This window comes from Homo sapiens, chromosome 2, assembly GCF_000001405.40.
Source record: "Homo sapiens chromosome 2, GRCh38.p14 Primary Assembly".
In the NCBI taxonomy this organism is placed as follows: Eukaryota; Metazoa; Chordata; class Mammalia; order Primates; family Hominidae; genus Homo; species Homo sapiens.
In genome coordinates this window covers 60,422,232-60,448,447 of record NC_000002.12, presented here as the reverse complement: position 1 = coordinate 60,448,447, position 26,216 = coordinate 60,422,232, and the positions used below count along the sequence as shown (strand labels likewise).

Sequence of the window (26,216 nt, the reverse complement as noted above, 5' to 3'; positions counted from 1 at the left end):
AAATTAGGATATCTTATTACGAACCACATGGCCTTTCTTTTTGCTTTGTATTTTAAAAAATGCTCCCAGGAAGTACTTAAGCTTTATAGAATACTTTTATATACATGATAGAATCAATTTTCCTTGTGATTCTATAAATTAGATAAGAAAAGAATAGACTGAAGTTGAAAGGAATCCTAGTAATCACTCATTTTAGAGATCAGAATAATAAGGGCCCAAAGATTAAGTGAAGTACCTAAGATCACAGTGTGAAAAAAACATCATAGCCAAGCTTGAAACCACACAGTTAGTGGCTGAGTCAGAATTGGAACCCAAGTCTCCCAGCTCCTGTGCAAAGGAATTCAAGTGGCAAATCTCTCCCTAGTGACCCACTAAATTCAGAAATAGGAATAGCAGAAAAGTATGCATTTCAGAAGGATTTAAGAACAAACCCAAAAGCTTGTTTTGGTAGTGCCAGTACTAGCAGGGAACATGTCAGCCTGCCCCATACGGAAAACAGGTTTCTAAAATAGTATTCCTATGACGGAGAAGATTTAGGTCACAACCTGAATGGATTCTTCTTTAATTCACCCCTCCAACGGTAGAAATAAACCTGGAGACCAAGAATTGCTGAGAGACAGCTTTTAAAGTTAAAAGGGCTGCTCATCAAACCAAATTCATCTCCAATGACTTAAGTGGGTCTCACAATCTGTTCCATTCTCTAGACAAGATATAAGAGAAACACCCACTGAATTTGAATTTTGATGCCACATCACATCCTGTTAGAGAATCCAAATAACCAATAGCATAACCTGTATCTTTTTCTTTCTTTTTTTTTTTTGAGATGGAGTCTCACCCTGTCTCCCAGGCTGGAGTGCAGTGGCGTGATCTCGGCTCACCGCAACCTCTGCCTCCCTGGTTCAAGTGATTCCCCTGCCTCAGCCTCCTGAGTAGCTGGAACTACAGGCAAAAGCCACCATGCCCAGCTAATTTTTTGTATTTTTAGTAGAAATGGAGTTTCACCATGTTAGCCAGGCTGGTCTCAAACTCCTGACCTCAGGTGATTCGCCCACCTTGGCCTCCCAAAGTGCTGGGATTACAGGCGTGAGCCACCACACCCGGCCTCTGTGGCCATTTCTTTTCTTGCCAGTCACCCTTTGATTCACATTTATTTCTAGTGGACATGGGTTGACTTTGAATGTCTTGGGGCCCGGTAGGGCAGCAGTTGCTGTGCGCAGCAGCTGTTTAGAGCCTGCACAGGCAAAGCCCTCCCTGAAATAGGAGAAAGACAGCGGGAAGCCTCACTGAGCAACAGCAAATCAAACATCCCTGTTGAGGATGGTCTGAGACGAAGTAATTTGCCTGATTTTTCCCCCAGTGATAGTTGCCTGAATTTCCTTAGATGGTAATGCAAGCAGACAACTCCCGCTGCCATTTCTGAACCTTCTGCTTCTCTCTCCCTGCTGATTTGTCCCTCTTCTAGAATACGTAGAAAGCCAATTGAGAGGTAGGAAGAGATTAGCTTCCTTTGGGCTCTAAGATTTGCAGTTACTCATGCTTCTATTTCAGAGTGACTGATTTTACCTGTTGCTTCACCACACAAAGGGGAAAAACCCAAAATGCAAATATTCCTCTTCAGAAACTCACCCAAAGCTCAGAACTCAGGAACACAAGAGATTTTTCTTTAAAGCGGTCCTTTGTGTGGATTTGCCTGCAGCCAATATGCCTTATTTGTGGAACTCTTTTTATTTTTCAGCTTCTCTGAGAGCACATTTTCTTTTCCCTCTGACACAGGCCTATGTGTTGGGGGCAGGATGAGGATGGGGTTCCTGTGCTTTTTGGTCTGGACTGGTAAATGGTGCTGTTCTCTGAGCCCACAGCTCAGGGTTATGATCTTGGCTTTATCATTGCCATGCTGACCCACCTGGTGTCCCCTCTTTCTGCATGTGACACATTCAAGGCCCATTCCTCCCTCTGAAAAAGGAAGGACACAATCTGTTTCCTACCTCCTACTTCCCAGCAGCACGCAACAGTCACAGCAGTGGGAGACATTCTTGTGTTCCGGCCTCTTGGGACTGGAGTGTTGACATCCAGTCTTGATGGCCACGGGGATGTGGGGTTGTGGTCCATGTTAAGGGTGGGCTTTTCTTTGCTTTTGGCTAGTAAACCCATTTTTCTTTATAAGCTTATGTCACAGAAAAAAAGCAGCAAGCGATTTTTGTTCGAAAACCAAAGCTGTCGTCATGCACACATTTTTTACACAGTTGCTTGTACAGTGCTCAGGGTGCATCTTATCACTTTGGTTGTACTTTAAGGTTGGGGGTCCCTCTTCACCCCTTTTCCTGCTGGAGGGTAGCATGGAGGGCAGCCCTTTCCCACAGGGCCTCGGCATCTCACTGAGGGTGGCAAAGCACCAAACTTCTTCGGGTGCCTGGAGATCCAGGCCCAGATGTTTCTGAAATGTGATCTCTGACTGAGAACCTAACCCTTCTCGTCCTTGATTGGCAGACTGCCCAGAGCTTGGTAAAGAGGAAAACGTAGGTTAAAGTAGAAATAATCATATCAGCTAATGTTTATTGAGAATTTACTATGTTCTAGGCACAGTGATAAGGATTTTCCAAGCATGTTCTTTTTTTTTTTTTTGAGATGGAGTTTTGCTATTGTTGCCCAGGCTGGAGTCCAATGGCATGATCTCAGCTCACTGCAACCTCCGCCTCCCGGATTCAAGCAATTCTCCTACCTCAGCCTCCAGAGTAGCTGGGATTATAGGCACGTGCCACCACGCCCAGCTAATTTTTATATTTTTAGTAGAGACGGGCTTTCACTATGTTGATTAGACTGGTCTCGAACTCCTGACCTCAGGTGATCCACCCACCTTGGCCTCCCAAAGTGCTGGGATTACAGACGTGAGCCACCGTGCCTGGCCTCCATGCATGTTCTTATTTCTTCTTCCTGATCATCGTGTGGTATAGGTACTATTATTATTTTCATTCTACTTAAGCTTAGAGAGACTTTAAATGACATGTCTAAGGTTTTGCAAATAGTACTACTACTGTCATATAACTACAGAATGCTTACTCCCAACCTCTACCTTTTGACTCCTAGTATCTACCTCATCCTGAAATTTTCTTACCACTTGTAATGCCAATGCTGAGTTTACCATCTTAAAAAATTAACAGCAGTGCTAATTAAACTGATTAAGAAGTCTATTCAAAGTGGTTTTGCTTTGAGGGCTCTGGTTCTGCAGACTATGGAGCAAGGCTGGTGCCATTTCGTGCTGTGGTACTTGCATTTCTGTCCATTTCTGATGCTGGGAGGACCGGTATGGTTTTGTGAGGCATATCTGAGGAATTCACTCTCCAGTATTCTCCATCTGCCGTATGGCTCATTCATTTGTTCAATCAACAAATATTTATTAGGTTCCTGCTATATGCAACCTGCTGAGTTAAGTGCTGGGGAAGGGATGCAAAGAGGTAAAAGGCACAGACATTGTGCATCAGAAATTGCTACCAGTGGAGAATTAAATTAATTAGAATCCTATTAAATAACTGGTTGCAGTTAAGCTGGTACGGTGAGAATAGTGGGCTTTACAAAATGCTGATATAGAATTCACTTTGCATGTGTAGCTAGCAGTCCCAGGCAAAGGGCCTGAGTACTCTGGAATGAATGGGAACGTTATTCTTCATACTTCATCAGTGGTACACACACTTAAAACTTGTTTTTCAAATGGTAGGGATGAGTATACATTGATGTTTCCTCACATATTTGGCCCAGTCCTTCTTGTAAATAACAACACCAATGATTTAGAAAGAGGTTAGTAACAGGAACACAATCTTTGTAAAGATAAGAGACCTGTAACAGGGGATAAGTCCACGTATTTTAACCTTCTGAACTGACCTCTAACTGATTACCTGCCACTAATTCATTCCAAATGGAACAAGACAAAGAAATCTTTACTTCTCCTGTTTGCAGTATTATCTTTCTCAGATCATCAGCATAAGCAAATATTTTCCCCCAGCCTACAGTGTGCAAGAGGCTCTAGGCACGTGGGGAACTATAAATAGGTACAAGATCAAACCCCTGTCCTCAAAGGGATTACAGTTGGTCCTATGGGGGGGCTAAGATTATATGCATAAAAGCACATAACAATAGGAGAGGGTAATATGATTAATCCATTAGTGAGAGATGCCAACTGGAGGAATGCAGAGGAAGATAATTTCTCTGAGGCCCACAGAGATGTTAGGCTTTTAGCCATCAAAGACAGGCTAGAATTTAGATGACAGAGAGAAAAGATGACAGCAAACCAGTTCAAGGCAGTACTGCAGTGTCTGGAGGGCACTGACCAGACCAGTATGGCAGGAAGAGGTTTGTCTATGAAACTAGTGGAACATAAGGTGGGAAACTAATTTGGGGCCATGTTATGGAGAAATTTTGACAATAGGCCAAGGGGCTTGTATTTTATCTTATAGTCAATAACATTTTCTTAAATCTTTTTTTTTTTTTTTTTTTTGAGACTGAGTTTCACTCTTGTTGCCCAAGCTAGAGTGCAATGGCATGATCTTGGCTCACTGCAACCTCCGCCTCCCAGGTTCCAGCAATTCTCCTGCCTCAGCCTCCCGAGTAGCTGGAATTACAGGTGCCCACCACCACGCCTGGCTAATTTTTTGTATTTTTAGTAGAGACAGGGTTTCATCATGTTGGCCAGGCTGGTCTTGAACTCCTGACCTCAGGCGATCCACCCGCCTCAGCCTCCCAAAGTGCTGGGATTACAGGAGTGAGCCATCGCACCTGGCCTTTCTTAAATCTTATAGTCAGTTAATGATTATTCAAAATCATGTCCATAGAAAAGTTTTGGAAGAGTGTAGCAGGGCATGAAATAGATTGAAAGGGAATTCAAAACAAGCCAAGAGACCAGTAGAAGGCCGATCCTGGAAGGCACTGGTTGTTTCATTGAAGGATTCTGCTGTGCATACAGTACTTGGGTTAAACTATGTAGTCATCCTTGACACATTCAAATAGACATTGACCCTGTTGTTTGAAGCTGTATCTAAATTCCCCATTTGTGCTGGTCTAGACCCATCAAAGACTGTAGAAGCTTGAAAAAGTTCTTCCTTATGGGTTGATCCTACACCACACCACACCACAAACAGCCTAAAGATAAAGACCTTGAGGCCCAAACAGGCCAGTTAGTTCCTAGGGATTGACTATTTTTACAACACAAAGGACGACTTCATGTCTCATTAAGCACTTAACACTTTAGTATCATGTCTCAAAGCAAAATGATAAACCTAACAGAAAAAAGAATAGAACGCTACAAGATTTTTGCAGATCAGAGAGGTACAAATACTTCTTTTTTGAGGGGAGATTTAAGAATTTTTTTCTTTTTGTAGACACAGGGTCTTGTTTTGTTGCCAGGCTGGTCTCAAACTCCTGGCTTCAAATGATCCTCCTGCCTTGGCCTCCCCAGGTGCTGGGATTATAGGCGTGAGCCACCACCCAGCTGTGATTTAAGAATTTTTTGATTCTCCTATTTGTAAAAGTTACATTATATTGTTTTTTCTTTGCAATATGCTTGTTGGTACAGGCCCGTGTCCTGTAATAATATTATTTTATTGCCATTTGGCCACAACATTAGATGAATTTCGTAATAAAGGCATGGATTAGAATAAGCAAGCATGTATATACATAACCAAAGAAGCATTCTCTGCACAAAGTAAGGCAGTGCAGGCTGGGGCTTCACTCTCTTGGAGCTTGCATTTCAAAAATAGAGACTTGGTATTTTTGTACTGCAGTCATAAGTCATATCATCTGGTGTCCTTCCCTATCTCTCTCCCCCATGCCTACTATCCTGTTTCTCCTGGAAGCAGGACTAGTCTATGACTGTCCAGTGTCTTAAGTCATAATATTTAGGGCATATAAAGAATTCCTTTTTGGTGCTGGATTGCAAACTCTCTATTTCATCCTAGAGTTTCTCCCAGAGCTCTGTGGTCTCCACTCCTGTGACCTGCCATGGCCACAAGTCTCAGCAATGCCCACCCTGCAACACCCCCACCTCAGGACGGTGGCCTAGGAGCAAGCGTGTAAATAAATGCTAAGGATCAGTCACAAGAGAACGGCCGGGAGGCGTCTGAGGGGTTCAACACACATGGAAGTGTTCCCCTGAGGTGTGAAAACACTCTGCTATTACCAGGACGCCCCATATTTCCCCTCCCACTGAAATATAGTAAAGTGTAATGAAAAAGTGAGGTATAGACCTTGAGTGGGGACAGGGAGGAAAGCAAGGCCTGTGTGAGATGAAGTCTGTGAGCAGGCAAACTTCCTTCACTAGCTAAGCACCCCCTCTTCATGTCAGCACAAGGCTTAATCCGTGCCTCAGCAAAACATAATCACTAAAAGTCATACATACTATACTTGGGTTAGGAAATGCAAGCATGCATTCCAAGGGCCTGTTTGCATAGATTCGTTCTTTTCCATTTTGCCCATGAGTCAGAATCATGGTATATGTATGGGAAGTATGCACATATGCACAGTCACATATAGTTCCTTGTGTATATATCTATTTATAGCACATGCCTATTCATGTGCCACCCGTATACACACATCTATCTAGACATAAAAAAATGCCTCATCTGTAACGACTATGACGATCTCAATGACATTACTGGCCTTGATCTTTGATAGTCATTATCCTCTAGTTTCTGTAGTCTTATCCTCAGAAGCTGTATTCACTCTGGGCTCCCACTCTTCTCCTGGAGTTAAAGGTAAAGGCTAGAAAGCCAGGCCAGCAAAGGTTAGCATATATCCTCTCCTGGCCTAGGGGGTCCTTGTGTCTATAGAACAGATGTGGGGTGGGCTGGAGCCAAGTAAACCTATCCCCTCTCCTACTGGAAATCACATTGAATTCTGACCCAAGGGGCCTCCGTGTTGCAAATGGAAAGGTAATTAAGCTACAAGACTTTGAGCCTTTTGGGGTTGAGAGGGCTTTTCACATCCAGTATATTTTCGAAGAGCAGAGGGTAGAGGTCAGAGAGACGTAGGAGGCCTTGAAGAGAATAGAAACAAGATAATAGGTGCTGGGTGCATTGCCATTAGGGGGCATGGATAAACAGAAAACACATTTAAAAATTAATTTTAGTTTTAAAACACACTGAGAATTCTACCAGCATTCTTGGTGGTGTGACAGAAGCATGGGGTTACCAACTTGCCCAGTGAGTGTGCTGGGAAGACGGATGGGTTGGAGTGCTCCTTCTGCTATTACTGTGATTATTTTTTAAATGATTATCATCGTGGAAAAGTTTCACCTGTGGAGACCTGGAGAGAGACCTCGAAGGACAGGAGCCCTCCGCTGGTAACGACACTTGGTTTTTAACCAACACAGCCAAGGATGGAGCCCAGTATCTAGAGGGAGGTAACCAATCCCCAGGAGCAGCCCCCTGAGGAATGTTGGTCCCATTTCAGCCACTGCCAGCAAGGAGAGTTCTGCTAGCTGTGACTCGGTGTTGATTCAGATGATTCCTCCGGGGTGTATGGCTGCAGTAGAGCTTGGAAAATCTGAAGCAAGTGAGAGGACTTGAGATTTCCATTTAGGAATGTTGACACCTTCCCATGTTCAAAGGACGTGTGTGTGTGTGTGTGTGTGTGTATGGGTGTGCATGTGTGTTGGGCCTGTACAGAGGGTAAGAGTCCATCCTTTCTCCACCACCCAGCTGTGTTAGGCTTGCTGAAGTGGAAGGTGCTGCCCGTACAAGGCTCACCCTCTCCTATCATCTCCCTTCTTTGGAACCAAGCTGACAGAAATCTTTAGCATGGGCACTCTTGGTTGTTTTTTTTTTTTTTTTTTGATGGGCCAAGCTTACAGTTTTCAAAGTGCTATGACAGGATGGTTGCAAAAATAAAAAGCTAGTGAAAGCTTAGTCACAATATTTCTATAGCTGGCAATCAAAAGATCATATTGCATGCAACTGGCAAAATCATCATAGGGAAATTATGCATTTTCCAGAGTACCTTATTCCCTTCTGTGTATTAAACATTACTTTAATATTCTGGTGACAATGTTTTATAATTAATCTAAATGTAAGAGAATGAACACACCAGAGATTATGTCTCAGTGCAAAGAGGTGAAAAAGGCTTCTTCGCAGTGGCAGACTGGATTACAGACTCAACTCCTTTCACTTATGAGCAACCACAGCTATCACTGAGGGCTAATATCCCGCCACATCCTCCAGTGAATGCAAACATTCTGTACACTTTGGGGAGTAAAACCCTTTCACTCATAAGGGTGTTAATGTTAACACAGAAGAAAAGTGTTTTAAAAATTGCATTAGTTCATGGACTTATATTGAACTCATGAGGGGGAATCTAGCCCCAGAGAGATAAAAACTAAAGAGCTCAGCCATAAACCAGTATGATAACATCCTTATTATAAGATGCAAATTGAGGGACCCAATTCACTAAAACACATGTTACTGGTATTTAATTTTGCTTGTGGGAATATATCAGAAGTTGGCCTATGCCTTATGCACAATGTACTTAAAACGAGGGCGAGTAACTTTAGCTATAAAAAACAGTGATAAAGCAGCACAGGGCAAGCCGGGATTGAGAGATAATTGCGAGGCTCTAATTTAAGTGTCAGCGTACACAGCTTTCTTTCCTGGCTTAGGCTGGGAGGCACAGCGCCCGTGTGCTGGAGGCGAGTTGGCTCCGGGTGGGGGAGGCTGGGGTTCCAAACCAGGGCAGGGGAATGGTGGCCCTGCGTGGCTCGTGGACCTCTCTCAGGGACCCCTCTCAGCAGGGGCCGGAAAAGCAGGCCCACACCCAGTGGTCATTGCAGGAACTTCACTTGAGCTGGTCTGCTTGTGAGCCTGTGGTTTGGAGAGGAGAAGACGCACTTCCCCATGAGAAAAAGGTCAGTTCCTCTTTCCCTGGGTGGCACAAACAGCCTTCTGGGTAATTAGTGGCCTTCCTGCCACCCTTGAGTCAGTGAATTCCCTCTCAGGGTGTCACTGAGAGGATGCACTCTGTGTGTCTCCAGGTGGTCATCCCCATGGGCTCCACAGATGAGGACACCGGCCCTCAGCTCTGCCCCCTCTCAGAAGCCTTCCTCACCTGGGGGTTCTGGGTGAAGGGAGCTCCCCGCCAGAGACTCATGTGGGATCGTGTGTGGACCGTAGAGCCACAGAGCGTCATCTGTAAGCCAGGTGAAATGCGCAACCTGCAGCCCCTCCCTCCTCAGACCTATGAGTCACGATCTGCGTTTTAGGGAGGCACATGAACTTGTGAGAAGTGTGCTACCCCTACCCTCTGACCACTGCATGAGCCCCTCTTTCACCATTTAGGGCTTGCAGGGTTTGAAGAATTAAGAGAGGGTCTTCCAAATGCCTCCTTTTTAGGGGGTTAAACCTTTATGATTAGAGGGAAAATTATTGCAAGAAGCATAGGGATGCATCAGAGGTCAATAGGGCGCAAGCATGAAATACCACTAACACTATGTTAGATAACATCAGGGGTCACCTTGATGTTGGCTGCGGAGGAAAGGGATGTCCAGCCCTTGAGGACATGAGATGTTTGCTGAGAGACACATTTACTCTGATGGCGTTGGCTCAAGCCCAAGAGGACGCTATGGACATAAGTGTGGTCTGCCCCTGCCTAACCCTCTCCAGAAATAGGCCACCAGCCACCTCCTGAAGAGTGAAAGTTAGGGACAGCAGGGAGGAGAGGGAAGGGGCCGGAGGACAGGGGTCCCCAGGTCACCTAATGATGAAACTCAGTTAACCTTGAGGCAGACTGGGTGAGCCTGCGGTTATTGCAGGGGCTTCTTAGACTAACTCTGCCCCGCTAAACTGCCAAGGTCTGGATTTCCTTAATAAGATGAAAATCTTTTTATAACACAATTAGGAGAGAAAATGCTTACCCCACAAAGGCTGGGTTGAGGTAACACTTAAGTGTGAATGGGTTAAAGAATAACCAGCCAATCAATCACCAAGTCTCAACAAGGAGTGAAGACACGGAACTCTCCTGGTTTTGCTGGGGTGCACTGAACAAGTGTGGGAAAGACTCAGATAAAACTGATCAGAAGGCTGGGTGCCGAGCGTGCATTTTGAAGTCTCTCCTCTTAGCCAGGAGTCTGGGGGCCTAGCTTACGTCACAGTGAGAAAGGAAGCATCTCAGCAAGGGTTATATTTCAGTCAGGCAGCTGCAAAGACCACAGCTCAACTTTGCATTCTTCAATAAAGCTTTTTGCTTTTTTTGTTTTTAAACCCAGATTATTTCATACAAAGGAGGTTGGCTCTTAGGGCTTTATTAATTGGAGCATTATATTTAAATGTCTTATTTTTCCATCTGATCCTGTCTTACTCTTCGTGGCTTCCCTTGTAGCAAGCATAACCCTCCTCACGTAATTCCTGGGTGATGAGTGAACTCTGCATAGATGCCCAGAGGTAAATGGCCTTTGGAAGGGCCAAGAAGAACTTTGGTGGGATAATTTCCTCTCCTAGGATGGATTTTATTTTCCTTATTGTGTTGTCACTAGAACGGCCACATGCATCCAGGTCTCTGGAGTAACTTACTTTTGTTTTCTTTCCATTTTTAAAAAGCAAAGTGGACATTTTTCTCAAGCGTTTTGAAGTTCAAATTAACATCATCAGATCATCTAAACGCTCTCAGATGGGCAGAAGATTGGGGATGGGTCGGGGGAGTGGGATCACTAATTACCACATTCAAATGTGTGGATTCAAATGCTCCTATTTCTCCTATAGTTTAGATCCAGGCTTTAACTTCAGTTTCCTGTGTGACCTTTGAGAAGCCATCCCTCCAAGTGCTTCCTTTGAAGGGTGAGCCCTGGGTGCCTCTCTCTGAGGGAGGCCCTTGCTCCATCTGGGCTTGACTGTGCCACGGGGGATCAGAAGCAACATACATTCTGTCAGCAGCTGCCGGAAATGCTGGAGCAGCAGTCCTGGAGGCGGGGTGAAGCAGTCCCTGGCTTTTGGAGGAGGCGTGAGAAGAAATTCATGGGGGGCTTTAATTCTTTTCAGATTCCCAACCATTTTCTTCTAGCTGCTACTGCCTGCATTTGTGTAACTTAGTTTGCAACACAGGTGACAAGCTTTCTCTCGTTGGATGCTCATTGCAGCACTGTGGGGCGATGCAGCCAGGCAGGTGCTATTGCCTCCATTTCACTGATTGAGAGACTGAGACTCAGAGCAGCTGGGAGCTCTCCTGAGATAACACAGCTAGTTAGAAGTCAAGCCAGGTCCCCAGGGTAGAGCTTTCAGTAGTGTGTGAGGACAGCATAAAATGAAGTCTGTAGACTGTTTTTTTCTCTGAGAAGTTCAAGTCTTCTGCCTTGCTGCTTCTTCCCTCCAAGACAATAAGTTGGTTCGGTGCCCTCTCCGGTGACAAACTTAGGAAACATCTCTTCAGTATGAGGTAGCAGCCTCCTTTAGCTATTGTCACAGCCAATTCACAGAGGTCTAAGGCCCCCAGCTTAATTGATGGTTAAGGACCAATTCCACCCTATTCCTCCACCTCCATCAAAAAAAGCAGGCAAACACCACTTCATGCCTACTAGAATGGCTATTAAAAACAAACAAACAAAAACAGAAAATAACAAGTGTTAGTTAGAATGTAGAGAAGATGGAGACCGCATGCATTGCTGGTGGGAATGTCAAATGGTGGAATCACTGTGGAAAACAGTTTGGCAGTTTCTCAAAAAGTTGCACACTTACCATACGATCCTGAAATTCCACTCCCAGGTGTATAGCCAAAAGAATGGAAATCAGGGATTTAAGCAGATTTCTATACACTCACGTTCATAGCAGTATTAGTCACAATAAACGCAAAGTAGAAACAACCCAAGCATCCATAAAAAGATGAATGAGGCCCGGCGTGGCCGCTCATGCCTGTAATCCCAAGCACTTCAGGAGGCCGAGGCGGGCAGATCACTTGACACCAGGAGTTCAAGACCAGCCTGGCCAACATGGTGAAACCCCGTCTCTACTAAAAATATAAAAATTAGCCGGGCGTGGCGGTGCATGCCTGTAATTCCAGCTACTCAGGAGGCTGAGGCACGAGAATCACTTAAGCCCGGGAGGCGGAGGTTGCAGTGAGCTGAGATCATACCATTGCACTCCAGCCTGGGTGACAGAGGGAAAATCTGTCTCAGGAAAAAAAAAAAAAAAAAAGAAAAGAAGAGATGAATGGATAAACAAAATGTGAGCTATACACACAGTGGAATAATATTCAGCCATAAAAATAAATGAAATTTTGACATATGCTACAACATGGATGGACCTCACATACATTGTGCTAAATGAGATATGCCAGATATAAAAGGAGCAATATTATATGATTCCACTTCCATGAGGTACCTATACTGGGTAAATTCATAGAGACAGAAAATGGAATAGAGATTACTAAGGGATTAATGAGGGGATGGGGAAGGGGAGCTACTGTTTAACGGGTAGGGAATTTATGCTGGGGATGATGAAAAAGTGTTGGAGGTAGACGGTGGGATGAGGACACAGCATTGTGAACGTACTTAATGCCACTGAAGTGTATACTCACAAATGATTAAAATGGTAAATGGTACATTATATATATATATTAACACAATTAAAACAGACTGTTAAAAGAAAGCAAACAGGCCAGGCGCAGTGACTCATGCCTGTAATCTCAGCACTTTGGGAGGCCAAGGTCACTTGAGGACAGGAGTTCAAGACCAGCCTGGCCAACATGGTGAAACCCTATCTCTACTGAAAATACCAAAATTAACTGGGACGTGGCAGCACATGCCTGTAATCCCAGCTACTTGGGAGGCTGAGGCACGAGAATCGCTTGAACCTGGGAGGCGGAGGTTGCAGTGAGCCGAGATTGCACTACTGCAGTCCAGCCTGGGTGACAAGAGTGAGACTCTGTCTCAAGAAAAAAAAAAAAAAAAAAAAAAGGAAGCAAACAAACCCAAATAGAAAACAACAACCGAACAAACAAAAGCAAAAAAGGAGGCAAAGGAAGAAGAGAGGGCCCAAGGGTAAAGGACAGGGGCTGGTGTGGAAGACACAACAGTACATCATGAAAAGGAACAAGGTGTCTCTGGGAGAGGTCCAGGTGGTGCTCTGCCCAAGGGGTCGCATACCTTAGTGCTGGGAAGAGAGGCATTCTCTGGGGCCTGAGACTCCTGCAGGGAAACTGTCCCAGTATCAGCCAGAGAAGAGATGGCTTTCTTTTACTGCATGGCAGCAGCCCTGGAGCCCCGGGGCAGGATCATATCCCTAGGGTGGGAGAAGTGCCCATTTCCAATTTATTTATGTGTTTTATCCCCAGAGTGGGATAAATGACTATGAAACTGACCTAATATTTATGTCTATTTTAAGGCCGGGGGTTGATATGAGTGCTTTCTTGATGAACTGCGCCCTTAGAGCTATTTACTTTAGTGGAAGGTTTCTTTTGAGGAGGAGATTGGGAAAAGTCATCAAATTCCGTGGTTGCTGCTTCCTCTAATTATATTCTCACTTTTGAATAATTTTTAAGCCTTTCGGAAGTAGAAGAAATAGGGGCTTTTAAAATGATGGGAGCATTCCCAACAAAGGTAAAATGCTCCCTACCTTGGGGCCCAGCTCTTTACTGTGAGTTTGTGACATCTACTTTTATCATTCTAAAAGTTTCATGTTGTCCATACTGCCTGTTAGGAAACATGGAAAAGCTGGCTTTCAAACTTGGACTTGGAGCCAGGCATGGTAGCATGTGATTGTAATCTTAGCTACTTGCTTGAGCTGAAGACTTTGAGGCTGCAGTGAGCTATGATTGATTGTGCCACTATGCTCCAGCTTGGATGACAGAGCGAGACCTCAGTCTCAAAAAAAAAAAAAAAAAAAAAAAGGGACTAAGGCTGGCAGAGACAAGAAGACTAAACTTTGTATTAATTTGTTGTATGGTCATTCCTTGTTTTTTCAGAATGGACTCCTCTCTTTTTTCCCTTTAAGCAACAAGATAGTGGAGTTACAACCCAGCCCCTGCCGGTAGATTTCTCTGTTCGGTCCCGAAGGTTAAAGTCCTTAGATGAAAAAGGCTGGAATGCAAGGTGTGAACACTGAGATAAAGCAGAGCATGGGCACATGTTTTGTTTGTTGCCATGAGGCTCTGTTTTATTTTATTTTTAAGACAGGGTCTTGCTCTGTCACCCAGGCTGGAATGCAGTCGTATGATCGTGGCTCACTGCAGCCTCATCCTCCTGGGCTCAAGCAATCCTCCCACCTCAGCCTCCCCAGTAGCTGGGGATAGCCACCACACCCGGCTAATTTTTTGTAGAGATGGGGGTCTCAGTATGTTGCCCAGGCTGGCCTCGAACTCTTGGGCTCAAGGGATCCTCATGCCTCAGCCTCCCAAACTGTAGGAGTACAGGTGTGAACCACTGGGCTAAAGTGTCATCAGGCTTTAGAACCAGAAGCTCAAGAACTGGCCTCAAAAGTAAAGGGACTTCAGAAATGAAATTACATTCTGAAACCAGTGCAGAGGAGCCAAGTATTCAGCACTGATTTGCTCTCAGGTAGCACTGAGCATATATTTGCTGGTGACAGAGGCAGATGACTGGAATTTATTTTTTACCAAACGGTTTTGTTTCCTGAGTCCTGAGAGATGACCTGGTCGAAACTTCCCCTTTAATCTTATTAAGGAAAATCGATGGGCACAAGCTGGGATTAACTACAAGGGAATTTGAGCAGCAAGAGAAGCTCATTCTTCCAAGGTGCTTGGTAAATTTGGGGAATTCTCTGAAAATTCTGAGTAAATATCTGGGTGGAGGGCAAGGAAGTGACTATATTATTACTAGTAATGCAAGGAGATAGTCATAGCTTTGACAAATACTTTTAAGTTTGAAGAGTTTTTATTTTCTCATTTTGTCTCTATGCCACCCAGGTATTGCTATTGCCCTAATTTCTCAGAGAAGTAAACTGAGGCTGAGAGCAGTCCGGGGGTTTGTTGGAGGCCACAGAACCGGTTAGAAGAGGCGTGGATTAGGATGCAGGTATTGTGACTCATTCTGCAGACTTCCCTTGGGGTTTTCAATCTTGTCCTTTCTGGTCATGCCCATGCCTGGGTTTAGACACATGCTGAGGGCTAGGCAGGAGTGTGTTGGATGTTGTGGGGTGAGTGTGGGAATGGAGGGTAGCTCTTGCAGTGCTCAGGCTAGAGCTGGTCCTAACCCTTCCATGGAGGGGGGAGGGGTGATAGCAATTCAGGCCAGACCGTTTCTTGGAAGGGCAGGGTGTGAGTGCTGGGTCAGGCTAGTGAGGCATAGTTCTACATGATTGCATTCAGCTTGCAATAGCTGATGGCACTGATGAATGGAGTCTCTGGGCCACTCCTGAGGCTGGCCAGCTCCCCTGCCTTCCCCTCCGAATTCAGATGCCCTCTTTTGAGGTTGCTGTTCTGGTCAGGATAGCTAAGCTCTTTCCTTCAGTAGGCCGTTGTTTTATTATTCTCAGATTATCTGGGAGGGGTCTTTAGTCTCCTCTCCTCAGATAGATTTAGCACATCTCACCTTGATGGTTCCTGAAGAAAGGACTCTGACTTTGAGAGGATGGAAGGTCGGGGAGTGAGCTGAGATGAGACGAGCTGGCAGGAGCGCTGGCAGCGAGGAAGGCAGCTGCAGGGACCCTATCCAGGTGCTGTGTTGGGTCCAGGCCTTGAAGGCAAACTCCTCCTACTCCCCATGTGAGCTGACAGGAGTGTCTCAGGGAGGGGGCTGCTGAGGTTGTCTTCGGGCCACATGGCTGCTGGGCATGGCACTGGATTCAGGACCAAGACTCCCGGGCTCTAATCCTTGCTCCTTCAGTTCACGTTCTTCTCTTCTCTGGGTCTTAGTTTTCTCATCTGTAGCAGGAGCCAACCAATTCTAAGGTCACTCTTAGATTCTACAGGACTCTCACTGGAAGAGAACCCAGGAGGGGCGTCTGGGAGGCGGCTGCTCAGGGTGGCCAGGTACGAAGCCACCAGGCAGAGGCACAGGAGGCATCCCTGAATCACCGAGGAGTCACCTGCCATGAGCAATCTGTGGTGAGAGAGAAGGAGGTGCAGGCCAGTCAGGGGAAGGAGGTGACTTCCAAAACGCCAGGGAAGTTTACAAGCAGGTTTTGTCTAAGTGATTGGCCAGTAGGCGCTAGTAGCAAACAAACCAGCGCAGGGTCCCAACTTGGTCAGGAGTGGAATGCTTTTTTTTTTTTTTCTTAAAGATAATAAATCCAATCAGGTCTTTTATCTTGTTTAGAAATCATAAATTTAACATGTATTGGGGTTAGCAGACCAGTTCAGGGGCTGTTTGGGGGCATTGAGTCATTAGGCTGGGAGTATTTACGAGGCAGAGTTTAAAGGACACCATTTAACAATTCTTGGCCTGGGGCTGTCTTGGTTGCAGCTTTGGGCATCTTTTGGGATTCTGTTTGGAAGTTTTGCTTGTTGAAATATAGCTTAGAATGCAGAGAATTAAGTGCCTTTTGAAAACATTTTCATCCCATCCTAGGCAGTTAAATTCCCAATACTTTGGAATCATGGCTATAATTCAGTTTACAAACACAAATGGAGTACCCACTATGTCTTTTTATTTTAGTTTATTTTATTTTTGAGACAGAGTCTTACTCTGTTGCCTAAATTGGAGTGCAGTGGTGTGATCTCGGCTCACTGCAACCTCTGCCTCCCAGGTTCAAGCGATTCTCCTGTCTCAGCCTCCCGAGTAGCTATGATTTTTGGTGTGCGCCACCACGCCCAGCTAATTTTTGTATTTTTTAGTAGAGACAGGATTTCGACACGTTGGCCAGGCTGGTCTTGAACACCTGACCTCAGATGATCCGCCCGCCTCTGCCTCCCAAAGTGCTGGGATTACAGCTGTGAGCCACCGTGCCTGGCCCCCACTATGTCTTACTACCTGCAAGACACAGTACCAAGTGTTTCAAGGAAAATGACAATTGAACAATACTAGGTCCACAGCAGGTGACTCAACATTTCCCAAATTGTATTAAGTTTGGGGAATTTTTATTTTCAGATAAGAAGGCACATCAACACACATCTACATGCTGACCTACCTGTGTCTTTTTGTTGTGGGACTTGGGTCTTGGTTCCTGAAAACTTTTTCATAATTGATAGGTGAAAATAACAAAAATGTGGTAGACATGTCTTGGAATGAACACTATTAAAAAGAAAAATAGGACTCTGGAATACAAACTGGTTTAGACAGTCAATAAATGAATGTCTACTCAGTGGGCACTTGGCAGGGGTAAAGAACATGCTCTCCACTTGAGCAACTGTGAGGTGTATTTCAGTTATTCCTCCAAGCCATGTAGCATTATTGCCATTTTCCAGATAAAGACATTGGAGCTTAAACTAGTTAAGTGGCTCGATAAAGGTCATCTAGCTAGTACATGGTAAAGTCAAGTCTTTCTGACTCAAAAATCCATGCTCTTATTAATTAATTAATTTAAGAAATATTAATTGAGCCTTTCTCATCAAACATGCTGCCTCCACATGGGGCACTCTGTGTGCTCTAAGGGGAAGAATCAGACAATCACCAAACACAGCACAATATAACACATTTTGTAATTAAGTGCTAATTTAAGAGCTATATGAATTCAGGGAAGGGAGAATATGTCAGCTGGAGAGGCTTGGCACCATGTCTTGAGAGGATCTCAAGCTGGGTCTCAGAGCACAGAAAAGATTTGCAGGAACCATGAATAGAGAAGAGCGGCAGAACTTGTGTCTGGGGGCAGTGAGATGCAGAGGTAAATTGGAGCAGATGCTTTAACTTTGCAAGGTCACCTGCTTTGAGGTTCAATTATAACTACCTGGAGTGGCCTTTCAACCCTCAAATAGTGAAGAGGGTGGTTTCATTGTCTAACTCCCACGTTCATCTGCCTTAATAGTGACTAGCTCTAAGTCCAGAAGGAGAACTGGGAGGGGTGAGAATATGAAATATTACTCATTGACAGCAATTTCCACATGCTTCCTAAAACAATAACCAACCCAAATTACCTACATCTACACAGATGACACAGGTGATACAATAATGAAATAATTGATGAAATAATAATGAGAGGAGTCCTAAAAGTAGAGATTTTAAAAGCCCTGTGTTCCCAAGAGCCATATGCTACTAGCTGAAAAGCGCTCCTTTCTGTGCGTGATCAAAACCTTTTCTGTTCCCTTAAAAAATAATACATTGGTAAGCAGGTGTTTCATTGGTTGAAGAGGTCATTGCTCGGTGTCAGGTTGGTTTTCAGAGAACAGAAATGACAGTTCTATGAAATCAACTTGAACAAGGTATTTAACTCAGCTTCTCAGAAGTTGCCAATAAACTTTATTTAAAGAGATTCTCAGAGGAGGCTGTTGTGGTGCCTCTAACTGACTGCATCCTATGCCCACTCTTCCCTCTCTTTTGGCCTTCTTTTTCAGACTTGTGTAAACCCAAGAAGGTGGGATAGGGAAAGAGATTACAGGATGGTTTAGTGCTCTGCAGTTGGACAGGAGAGGTTGGAAGTTGTGGGGTGGAGTCCCAGAAGAACCTGGTGGCTCCAAGTGGTATTGTGTGGCTTCTTAGCCATCACATTTAATCTCCCCGGGGGTGGCTGTTGTTGCGATCCTCTGCTTTGCCACTGGTGGTGACTAGTGGGAACGTTTCTCATAGGGTTTTGGATGGATGTCCATGTTTATCTCTTGAGGCCCATTAATTTGGTTGCTTGGGCACTGCAGTGATGGGTCTATGCCGTGTGTTGGAAAGAGCACTAGATTATAAAAGAAGACTTGGTCCTGGACAGTTCTGCTGCATGGCTTTAGGTGAGTTCCTTAAGGTTTCTCCATCTCAATTTCCTTATTTGCCATCTGGATAGTTACTCTAGATAATCTCCAAGCTCCCTTCCAAGTCTGTGATGAGAGGCCAAAGATGTAAATTCAGTCTCCTCATGGAGTAGACAGTGCTGCGTTGTGCCAGAATCACAGACAGCAGCCCTGTCCTATCCTCACCGTGACTCCTCTAGGTGAGACGGTCAGTGGTTCAGACCAAATCCTTTGTCTTTTTTTTTTTTTTTTTTTTTTGACAGAGTTTCACTCTTGTTGCCCAAGCTGGAGTACAATGGTACGATCTCGGCTCACTGCAACCTCTGCCTCCCGGGTTCAAGCGATTCTCCTGCCTCAGCCTCCTGAGTAGCTGGGATTACAGGCGCCCACCACCATGCCCAACTAATTTTTTGTATTTTTAGTCGAGATGGGGTTTCACCATGTTGGCCAGGCTGGTCTCGAACTCCTGACCTCAGGTGATCCACCCACCTCGGCTTCCCAAAGTGCTGGGATTACAGGTGTGAGTCACTGCGCCAGGCCGAGTCTTTTTGATTAAAATAGCTCCCAGTTGATGCTGTCAGCAAAATTATGTAGACAATCTAGGGCGGCAGCCATGCTGGTATGCCTGAGAACAGGTGGCTTCTGTCAGTTTTAAAACCAGCAAAGCACTGGGCAAACCAGCCAGGCGGCCACCCCAAGAAGGACAGTTCCTACCAATTTAGTGTTAAGGTGGTGCCAGGGCAAGTGACAGCATCACTAAGAAATATAAAAAGATTCTAGAAAACCCTGATTTTCCTTGGCCATTACTTGACTTCCCTTAAAGTCTCTTCGGGTCCCTATTAAGTAAATACTGAAATTTAAATGATGAAATGCTTTCTCCCCCAGCCCCTATGCCTGTGTAACTAAGTCACTTCCTATCCCAGAAGCTAGTTTGGACCTGGTCTAGCTGGTCTTGCACCAGATGTCCCTGAAGTCACCTTCTCATCCCAGGCTTCTCCTTCTGCCTTCACCTGTCCTAGGGTGGGAGCTGAAGGTTCAGAGGAGTCAGGTGGGACCGTGGCTGGGCCTCTGCCTTGGTTCTCACACGGTCTCCCAAGCCCTTACCTCATGCCTGTGAAGGAGCAACTTTTCTTCCGAAAAGATCTTTTCCTTCCAAAATGGATGCTCTGACTGGGCTGCTAAGAAATGTGTGACCACAAGAAAACAAGAGCTTTAAGAGATGAGCATGGATATTCCATGCCTGGGATTCTTAGATATCCTGATTTAAGTGAGTTATTCTTGAAGGGAGGGATCTGAGAGTGGTCGTAGAGTCTAAAAGAGCCTATTTTATAAAGCACAGCCTATAACGGCTTAGACCCATTTTTCCTTTTCTTCTAAACCTGTTTTGAGTTGGGGAGCAAAGCAAGTGGTTCCCTCAAGTGTCTTCCCTTTTACCTCATTCTCCTTCTACCCCTAGCTTTGCTTATGAGGTGTTTCCTATATTCTCTGAGGGCACAAAACACTTAGAAGCCGTATTATAATTCCTAAAATCTATTTGAATCACACAATTGATATAAACATGTATTTTTGTTGTAAAATTTAAAATTTTGTCCATCTGATGGATGAGAATGACCTGGTCTTGGTTTAATACCCATTTCCCTGAGTCCCTGAATGACCGTGTGGAGCAGGTCCTCCTTTACTCCTGGCCCCCTGGCTAACCTGTATCTAACTGATATAAACTAGAAATAAAGTTTATTGTGTTAGGCCTTTGAGATTGGGGTTGTTACAGCAGTTAGCCTCTCTGACTGATGCAGGGCATTTCAAATAATGGCAGAATACAGAAATCTTTTTGACCTCTAAAAACCATACCACGCAGGCCCAGCCCTACCTGAACTGTAAGGGAAGTGGACTTTGATTTCTTAATATCTAGCCTATGGTGTGAAAATCCAAGTAACTACAGAGAATTAAAATAGCCTTTTCTCCCTCTTCTGTTTCTGTCTCCCTCCCATTGCCATCTTTACCCATTGTCTTTTTCAACATTCTTTTCCTCTCTCCCTCTTCCAATTCACAAAGGAAAATAGAAATGTTCAAAGGTTAAAATAGGCCAATAGTTCTTTGGCTATGTCAATGCATAACAAATTGGGGTAGAGAATTTTAACAATTAAAAAAAATTTGTTCTGAATCTTCCTTTGGCCTTAGGTACCATCTAGAGGATTACAGTTGTAGTGGTGTCTTTTCTCCTCTTTCTGGGTGGCTAAATATTTGCACCTCAGCTCCCTCCTTCTCTTTGTGTATGTGTATAGAAATAATTTCAATGCCCTAGCTTAAGATCTGGCAGTGAAAAATATCCTTATCCACTTGGAGAAGGTCATCCAATTCTGGAAAAGCTGTCTCAAGAAAGGACCATACACGTTTTATAAAAGCATGATTATTAAGTTTCAGGTTGATTATCATGCAAATGCTTCCATTTCCCCCCTTACCCCACTGAATCTCCTCCTACAACCATGAGTAAAATGACATCTGGGATGTTGGGAATTTAACCAGCCAGTCAGGAAGGCCGAACAATGTTTCCTCAGCCCATGGTTCACAGGGGTTCTGAGGGCCTTTGTGCGGAACTCAAGGAGTTGTTCCTTTAAACAAGGTGCCGGCTTATCTCACACTTTAAAACACCCTTTCCTTTCAAAGTTAAGTGTTTATCTCCTTGGGAATATGAATTGGTACAACCTTTCGGGAAAGCAATTTGGCAACTGGCATCGGGAGACTTAAAGGCGTTTTCTAACTTGACCTGGCAGTCCCTCCTCTAGTGCTCTAGCCTAAGAAAATAATTGGAGATGCGATCACAGATGCATGTACAAGGATGCTTATCACAGCATAATTTATGACAGTAAATCACCTGGAAACAGCTTAAAGGCTGGAAAAATAAGGGAAGGGCAAATCCACTCAACAATGGAATATTATGCAGCCTTTAAAAATAGTGTTTTCAAAAAAAGTTTAATGACATGGAAAAATATTCATGTTAATGTGTTAAGTGGGATAAAAAGCATACAAAACCAATAAATTCTAACTTTATTGAAAATAGTTTGTTTAGGCACACAGCCCTAGAAGATAAGAAATAAGCAAATACAAGAGAGAGGAGTTTTGTTCTAACCTCAGCTCTGACATGTGCTAACTGCCTACCATTGACTAAGTGGTTTAAACTCTCTGGATTTTTTTCCCCAGGGTTGTGGTGAGGATCTGAAAGAATATTTGCAAAGTTCCTGGCACAAAGAAGTTGCTCAAAAATTGGTAGTAGTTGTTATTATGATTCTTATCCCTATTATACTGGTAGGAGTTTGTCAGTGACAAAAGCTGGGTAAGAATAGTTTTGGGGGGCAGCCTTCCTTTACCCTTGTAACCCAAAAAGTATCTGAGACAGGTCTCAATTAATTTAGAAAGTTTATTTTTTTATTTTTTTTATTATACTTTAAGTTTTAGGGTTCATGTGCACAATGTGCAGGTTTGTTACATATGTATACATGTGCCATGTTGGTGTGCTGCACCCATTAACTCATCATTTAACATCAGGTATATCTCCCAATGCTATCCCTCCCCCCTCCCCCCACCCCACAACAGGCCCCAGAGTGTGATGTTCCCCTTCCTGCGTCCATGTGTTCTCATTGTTCAATTCCCACCTATGAGTGAGAACATGTGGTGTTTGGTTTTTTGTCCTTGCCATAGTTTGCTGAGAATGATGGTTTCCAGCTTCATCTATGTCCCTACAAAGGACATGAACTCATCCTTTTTTACGGCTGCATAGTATTCCATGGTGTATATGTGCCACATTTTCTTAATCCAGTCTATCATTGTTGGACATTTGGGTTGGTTCCAAGTCTTTGCTATTGTGAATAGTGCCACAATAAACATACGTGTGCATGTGTCTTTATAGCAGCATGTTTTATAATCCTTTGGGTATATACCCAGTAATGGGATGGCTGGGTCAAATGGCATTTCTAGTTCTAGATCCCTGAGGAATCACCACACTGACTTCCACAATGGTTGATCTAGCTTACGGTCCCACCAACCGTGTAAAAGTGTTCCTATTTCTCCACATCCTCTCCAGCACCTGTTGTTTCCTGACTTTTTAATGATCGCCATTCTAACTGGTGTGAGATGGTATCTCACTGTGGTTTCGACTTGCATTAGAAAGTTTATTTTGCCAAGGTTAAGAACACACCCATGACACAGCCTCAGGAGGTCTTAGTGACATGTGCCCAAGATGGTCGGGGCGCAGCTCGGTTTTATACATTTTAGGGAGACGTTAGACATCAATCAATATACGCAAGATTTACATTGGCTTGGTTTGGAAAGGTGGGACAACTCGCAGCAGGAAGGGGGTTTCCAGGTCATAGGTACAGAAGAGACAAATGGTTGCATTCTTTTGAGTGTCTGATTAGCCTTTCCCAGGGAAGCAATCAGATATGCATTTATCTCAGTGAGCAGAGGGATGACTTTGACATCTGTCTGTCATTTGTCCACAAGGAATTTCCTTGTAGACAAATTGTGAGGGAGGTATGTAGCTTTTTTTATGTTAGTAGCTATCTTTTTGAGGAATAGAATGGGAGGCAGGTTTGCCCTAAGCAGTTCCCAGCTTGACCTTTTTCTTTGGCTTAGTGATTTGGGAGTCCCGTGATATAGTATCCTTTTGCACCCTCAACTCACTTCTCACCATCGCCCACCCATTGTCTTCTGTGAGGTGGTCCTGCCCACAGCGTAGGCACAACAAACCCAAGTGGTGAAACAGAATTGTGACAGAAATAAAAACTCCAGACAAATATATTGATGGGTCATTTGGAGGAAGGCAGAACTTCCTCTGGCTGGTCAAAGGGAGCAAGTGGAGTGTTTAGGAGAGGAACCTATTTACTGGGTAGAAAACAAATGATAATATACATCTGTATAGAACTTGATGATTTAAAATCTGATTATCTTATGGAGAAAACATCCCTGAGAAGTATTTTCTATGGTTTTATTGCCTAAATAATAAGTATTATTAGTTATTTATTGTTACATAACAAATTACTCCCAAACTTAGCACTTACATCAACATGCGTTGCTATTTCAGTTTCTCCAGGTTAGGAATCCAGGTACAGATTAGCTGGCTGAGGGTCTCTCTCAAGGGTGCAGTTAGAATAGTGGTCAGGGCAGCAGAGCTACAATCTTCTCGAGTTTCAGCTGGGCAGGATCCGCTTCCAGGCTCACTCAGTGGTTGTTGGCAGGATTCAGTTCCTTGTGGGTTGTTGGATTGAGGGCCTCAGTTCCTCAATGGCTAGTGGCTGGGGGCCCCTTGAGTTTCCTCCTACATGGGCGTCTATAGAGCAGCTCACAGCATTGAAGCTAGCTTCATTAAACAAGCTGACAGAGAGGGAGAGAGAGGAAAAGGGAGAGAGAGAGATTGATCAGACTTTCGTAACCTGACCTTGGAATTCACATCTTATCACTTTTGCCATATTCTTTTTGCTAAAAGCAAGCCATTAGGTCCAGCCTACATTCAAGGGGAGGGGATTACACAAGGGTGTGGATACCAGAATGGGGCTATTTTATTTTATTTTGAGACACAGTTTTGCTCTGTCACCCAGGCTAGAGTATAGTGGTGGGATCTGGGCTCACTGCAATCTCCGCCTTCCAGGTTCAAGCAATTCTCCTGACTTGGCCTCTCGACTAGCTAGGATTATAGGCACCCATCGCCATGCCCAGATAATTTTTGCATTTTTAGTAGAGATGGGATTTCACCATGTTGGCCAGGCTGGTCTCCAACTCCTGACCTCCTTTGCCTCCCAAAATGCTGTGATTAGAGGTGTGAAACCAATGCTCCCGGCTGAGAATGGGACCATTTTAGAAGGCCACCTACCACATCCCTTTTTTACAGCAGAGGGAACCAAGTTTTAGCCCTAAATCAACCATAGAAGAAGACTCAAACTAGAGTCATTACTCTGTCCACTCTATTGTGCAAACCTTGCTCATCCTATTCCAACATCATCCTTATGCATAAAGGCATGTGTAGTGTAAATTACTGAGCATTTGAGAATTTTCATATCATGTGAAATTCCCAGTTATCTACAACAGTTTATGATATTCTAGGATGGGGGCATATTTTGGAGACAGAGAAAAATGTAGTAGTGATAATTAGAAAAATATGCAGAGGCTCCATTACCTACAAATGGCATCCATAGTTTTCACAGAAGAGGGCCTGGAAAATAGTTCCTAGGCCATTCAGGGTAACAGCAATGATTAATTCCAAGCTGTTAACGCATTTTATTATGCAAATACTCCAGCAACTCAGCCATGGAGAAAGTCCGGGCACCGCCCCCACCCCATTCACTCTGGACACTCAATTTGCATGGAAATGTGGCACTTTCACTCAAAGACAAGACAGTATGGTTCTCCTTGGAGGGGGGAGGTGGGAAGATTAGGACGTGGGTGGGGGAGGTGGCTAGAGGGAGATTCAGCTACCCATTAGCGACATGGATCTTTTTAAAGCCATTTGTGGTTAGAAAAACAATGGTATTATCTTAATTTACTAATTAAATTGCTCAAAGCAGGAGAGATAAGCAGAGCCTAGGGTCAGTTCCAGGCTCACTGAGTTTTGAGTCTTCCAGGAACCAGAGTTGAATCCTGCATCACCAAAAAGAAGGCTTTCACCACGTGAGCAGTGTTCAGTCTCAGCAAAAACGCAGGCTTTCCTTTCAGAGGAGAGAAAAGCAAGCAAAAGGAACATGTCTCTGGGAACTAGATAGAGTTTGAAGTCCATGAGTTTTTAGAATGGTCAGTGCTTGATATGAAGCATTGATCACTGATTGCTTTTATGGATCTTTCCCACTTAATAATACTTAGGTGGGTGCAAAACTCTGTTAAATGAACAAACAACTTCTGGCTTCTGGGGGAATTTAGCCCTGGGGTGTCTAAGTCAGCCACTGAACAGGAAAATCAGGGGTGCAATTGGATGTCTATCAAGAGATGGGCCAGGACACTGGCTGGACTGACTTGGGAAGTAGAGGAAAAGTGTTGCAAGTTTAGGACTTGAGCTGTGTGCAGTGATTTGGGAGTGAAAGGGGCTTCCAAGACCAGAGCAAAGGTGAGCTTAACACTTTCTGGGAAGCCTCCATTTCTAGAAAGAGAAATGGAGATGGAGCAATCAGTAGAAAGTTAGGATGTCCACCCTTTCATGCACCTCCGTGTGAAGAGACCACCAAACAGGCTTTGTGTGAGCAACATGGCTGTTTATTTCACCTGGGTGCAGGCGGGCTGAGTAAGAAAAGAGAGTCAGTGAAGGGAGATAGGGGTGGGGCCATTTTATAGGATTTGGGAAGGTAATGGAAAATTAGTCAAAGGGGGTTGTTCTCTGGTGGGCAGGGGTGGATCTCACAAAGTACATTCTCAAGGGTGGGGAGAATTACAAAGAACCTTCTTAAGGG

The 26,216-nt window shown here is 44.3% G+C and overlaps 1 protein-coding gene across 5 annotated transcripts in view, besides 4 other annotated features; it reads left to right on the top strand.

The window, feature by feature from the left end:
* Window positions 1,425-1,474: an enhancer, noted in NCBI's record as "active region_15807". NCBI's record gives its function as "activates an Ori minimal core promoter by ATAC-STARR-seq in GM12878 lymphoblastoid cells {active_cell/tissue: GM12878}" and the evidence as "EXISTENCE:reporter gene assay evidence [ECO:0000049][PMID:35858748]".
* Window positions 1,665-1,874: an enhancer, noted in NCBI's record as "active region_15806". NCBI's record gives its function as "activates an Ori minimal core promoter by ATAC-STARR-seq in GM12878 lymphoblastoid cells {active_cell/tissue: GM12878}" and the evidence as "EXISTENCE:reporter gene assay evidence [ECO:0000049][PMID:35858748]".
* Window positions 8,516-8,605: an enhancer, noted in NCBI's record as "active region_15805". NCBI's record gives its function as "activates an Ori minimal core promoter by ATAC-STARR-seq in GM12878 lymphoblastoid cells {active_cell/tissue: GM12878}" and the evidence as "EXISTENCE:reporter gene assay evidence [ECO:0000049][PMID:35858748]".
* LOC124906010 (uncharacterized) overlaps window positions 8,629-26,216 on the top strand; it is a 37,651-nt gene continuing 20,063 nt past the window's right edge. The window contains exons 1-4 of one of the 5 annotated variants that reach the window (XR_007086328.1): window positions 8,629-8,884; window positions 9,011-9,176; window positions 10,734-10,808; window positions 14,887-14,995. Coding sequence is in view for 2 of the 5 variants with exons in the window: in XM_047446574.1 (XP_047302530.1) it covers window positions 8,720-8,884; window positions 9,011-9,176; window positions 10,734-10,738 (336 nt within the window). In the remaining 3 variants the exon portion in view is untranslated. Of the gene's footprint in view, window positions 8,885-9,010; window positions 9,177-10,733; window positions 11,080-14,886; window positions 14,996-26,216 lie in introns of those variants that run through there. The other 4 variants (XR_007086329.1, XM_047446574.1, XR_007086331.1 and 1 more) reach the window with 4 other exon arrangements.
* Window positions 8,856-8,915: an enhancer, noted in NCBI's record as "active region_15804". NCBI's record gives its function as "activates an Ori minimal core promoter by ATAC-STARR-seq in GM12878 lymphoblastoid cells {active_cell/tissue: GM12878}" and the evidence as "EXISTENCE:reporter gene assay evidence [ECO:0000049][PMID:35858748]".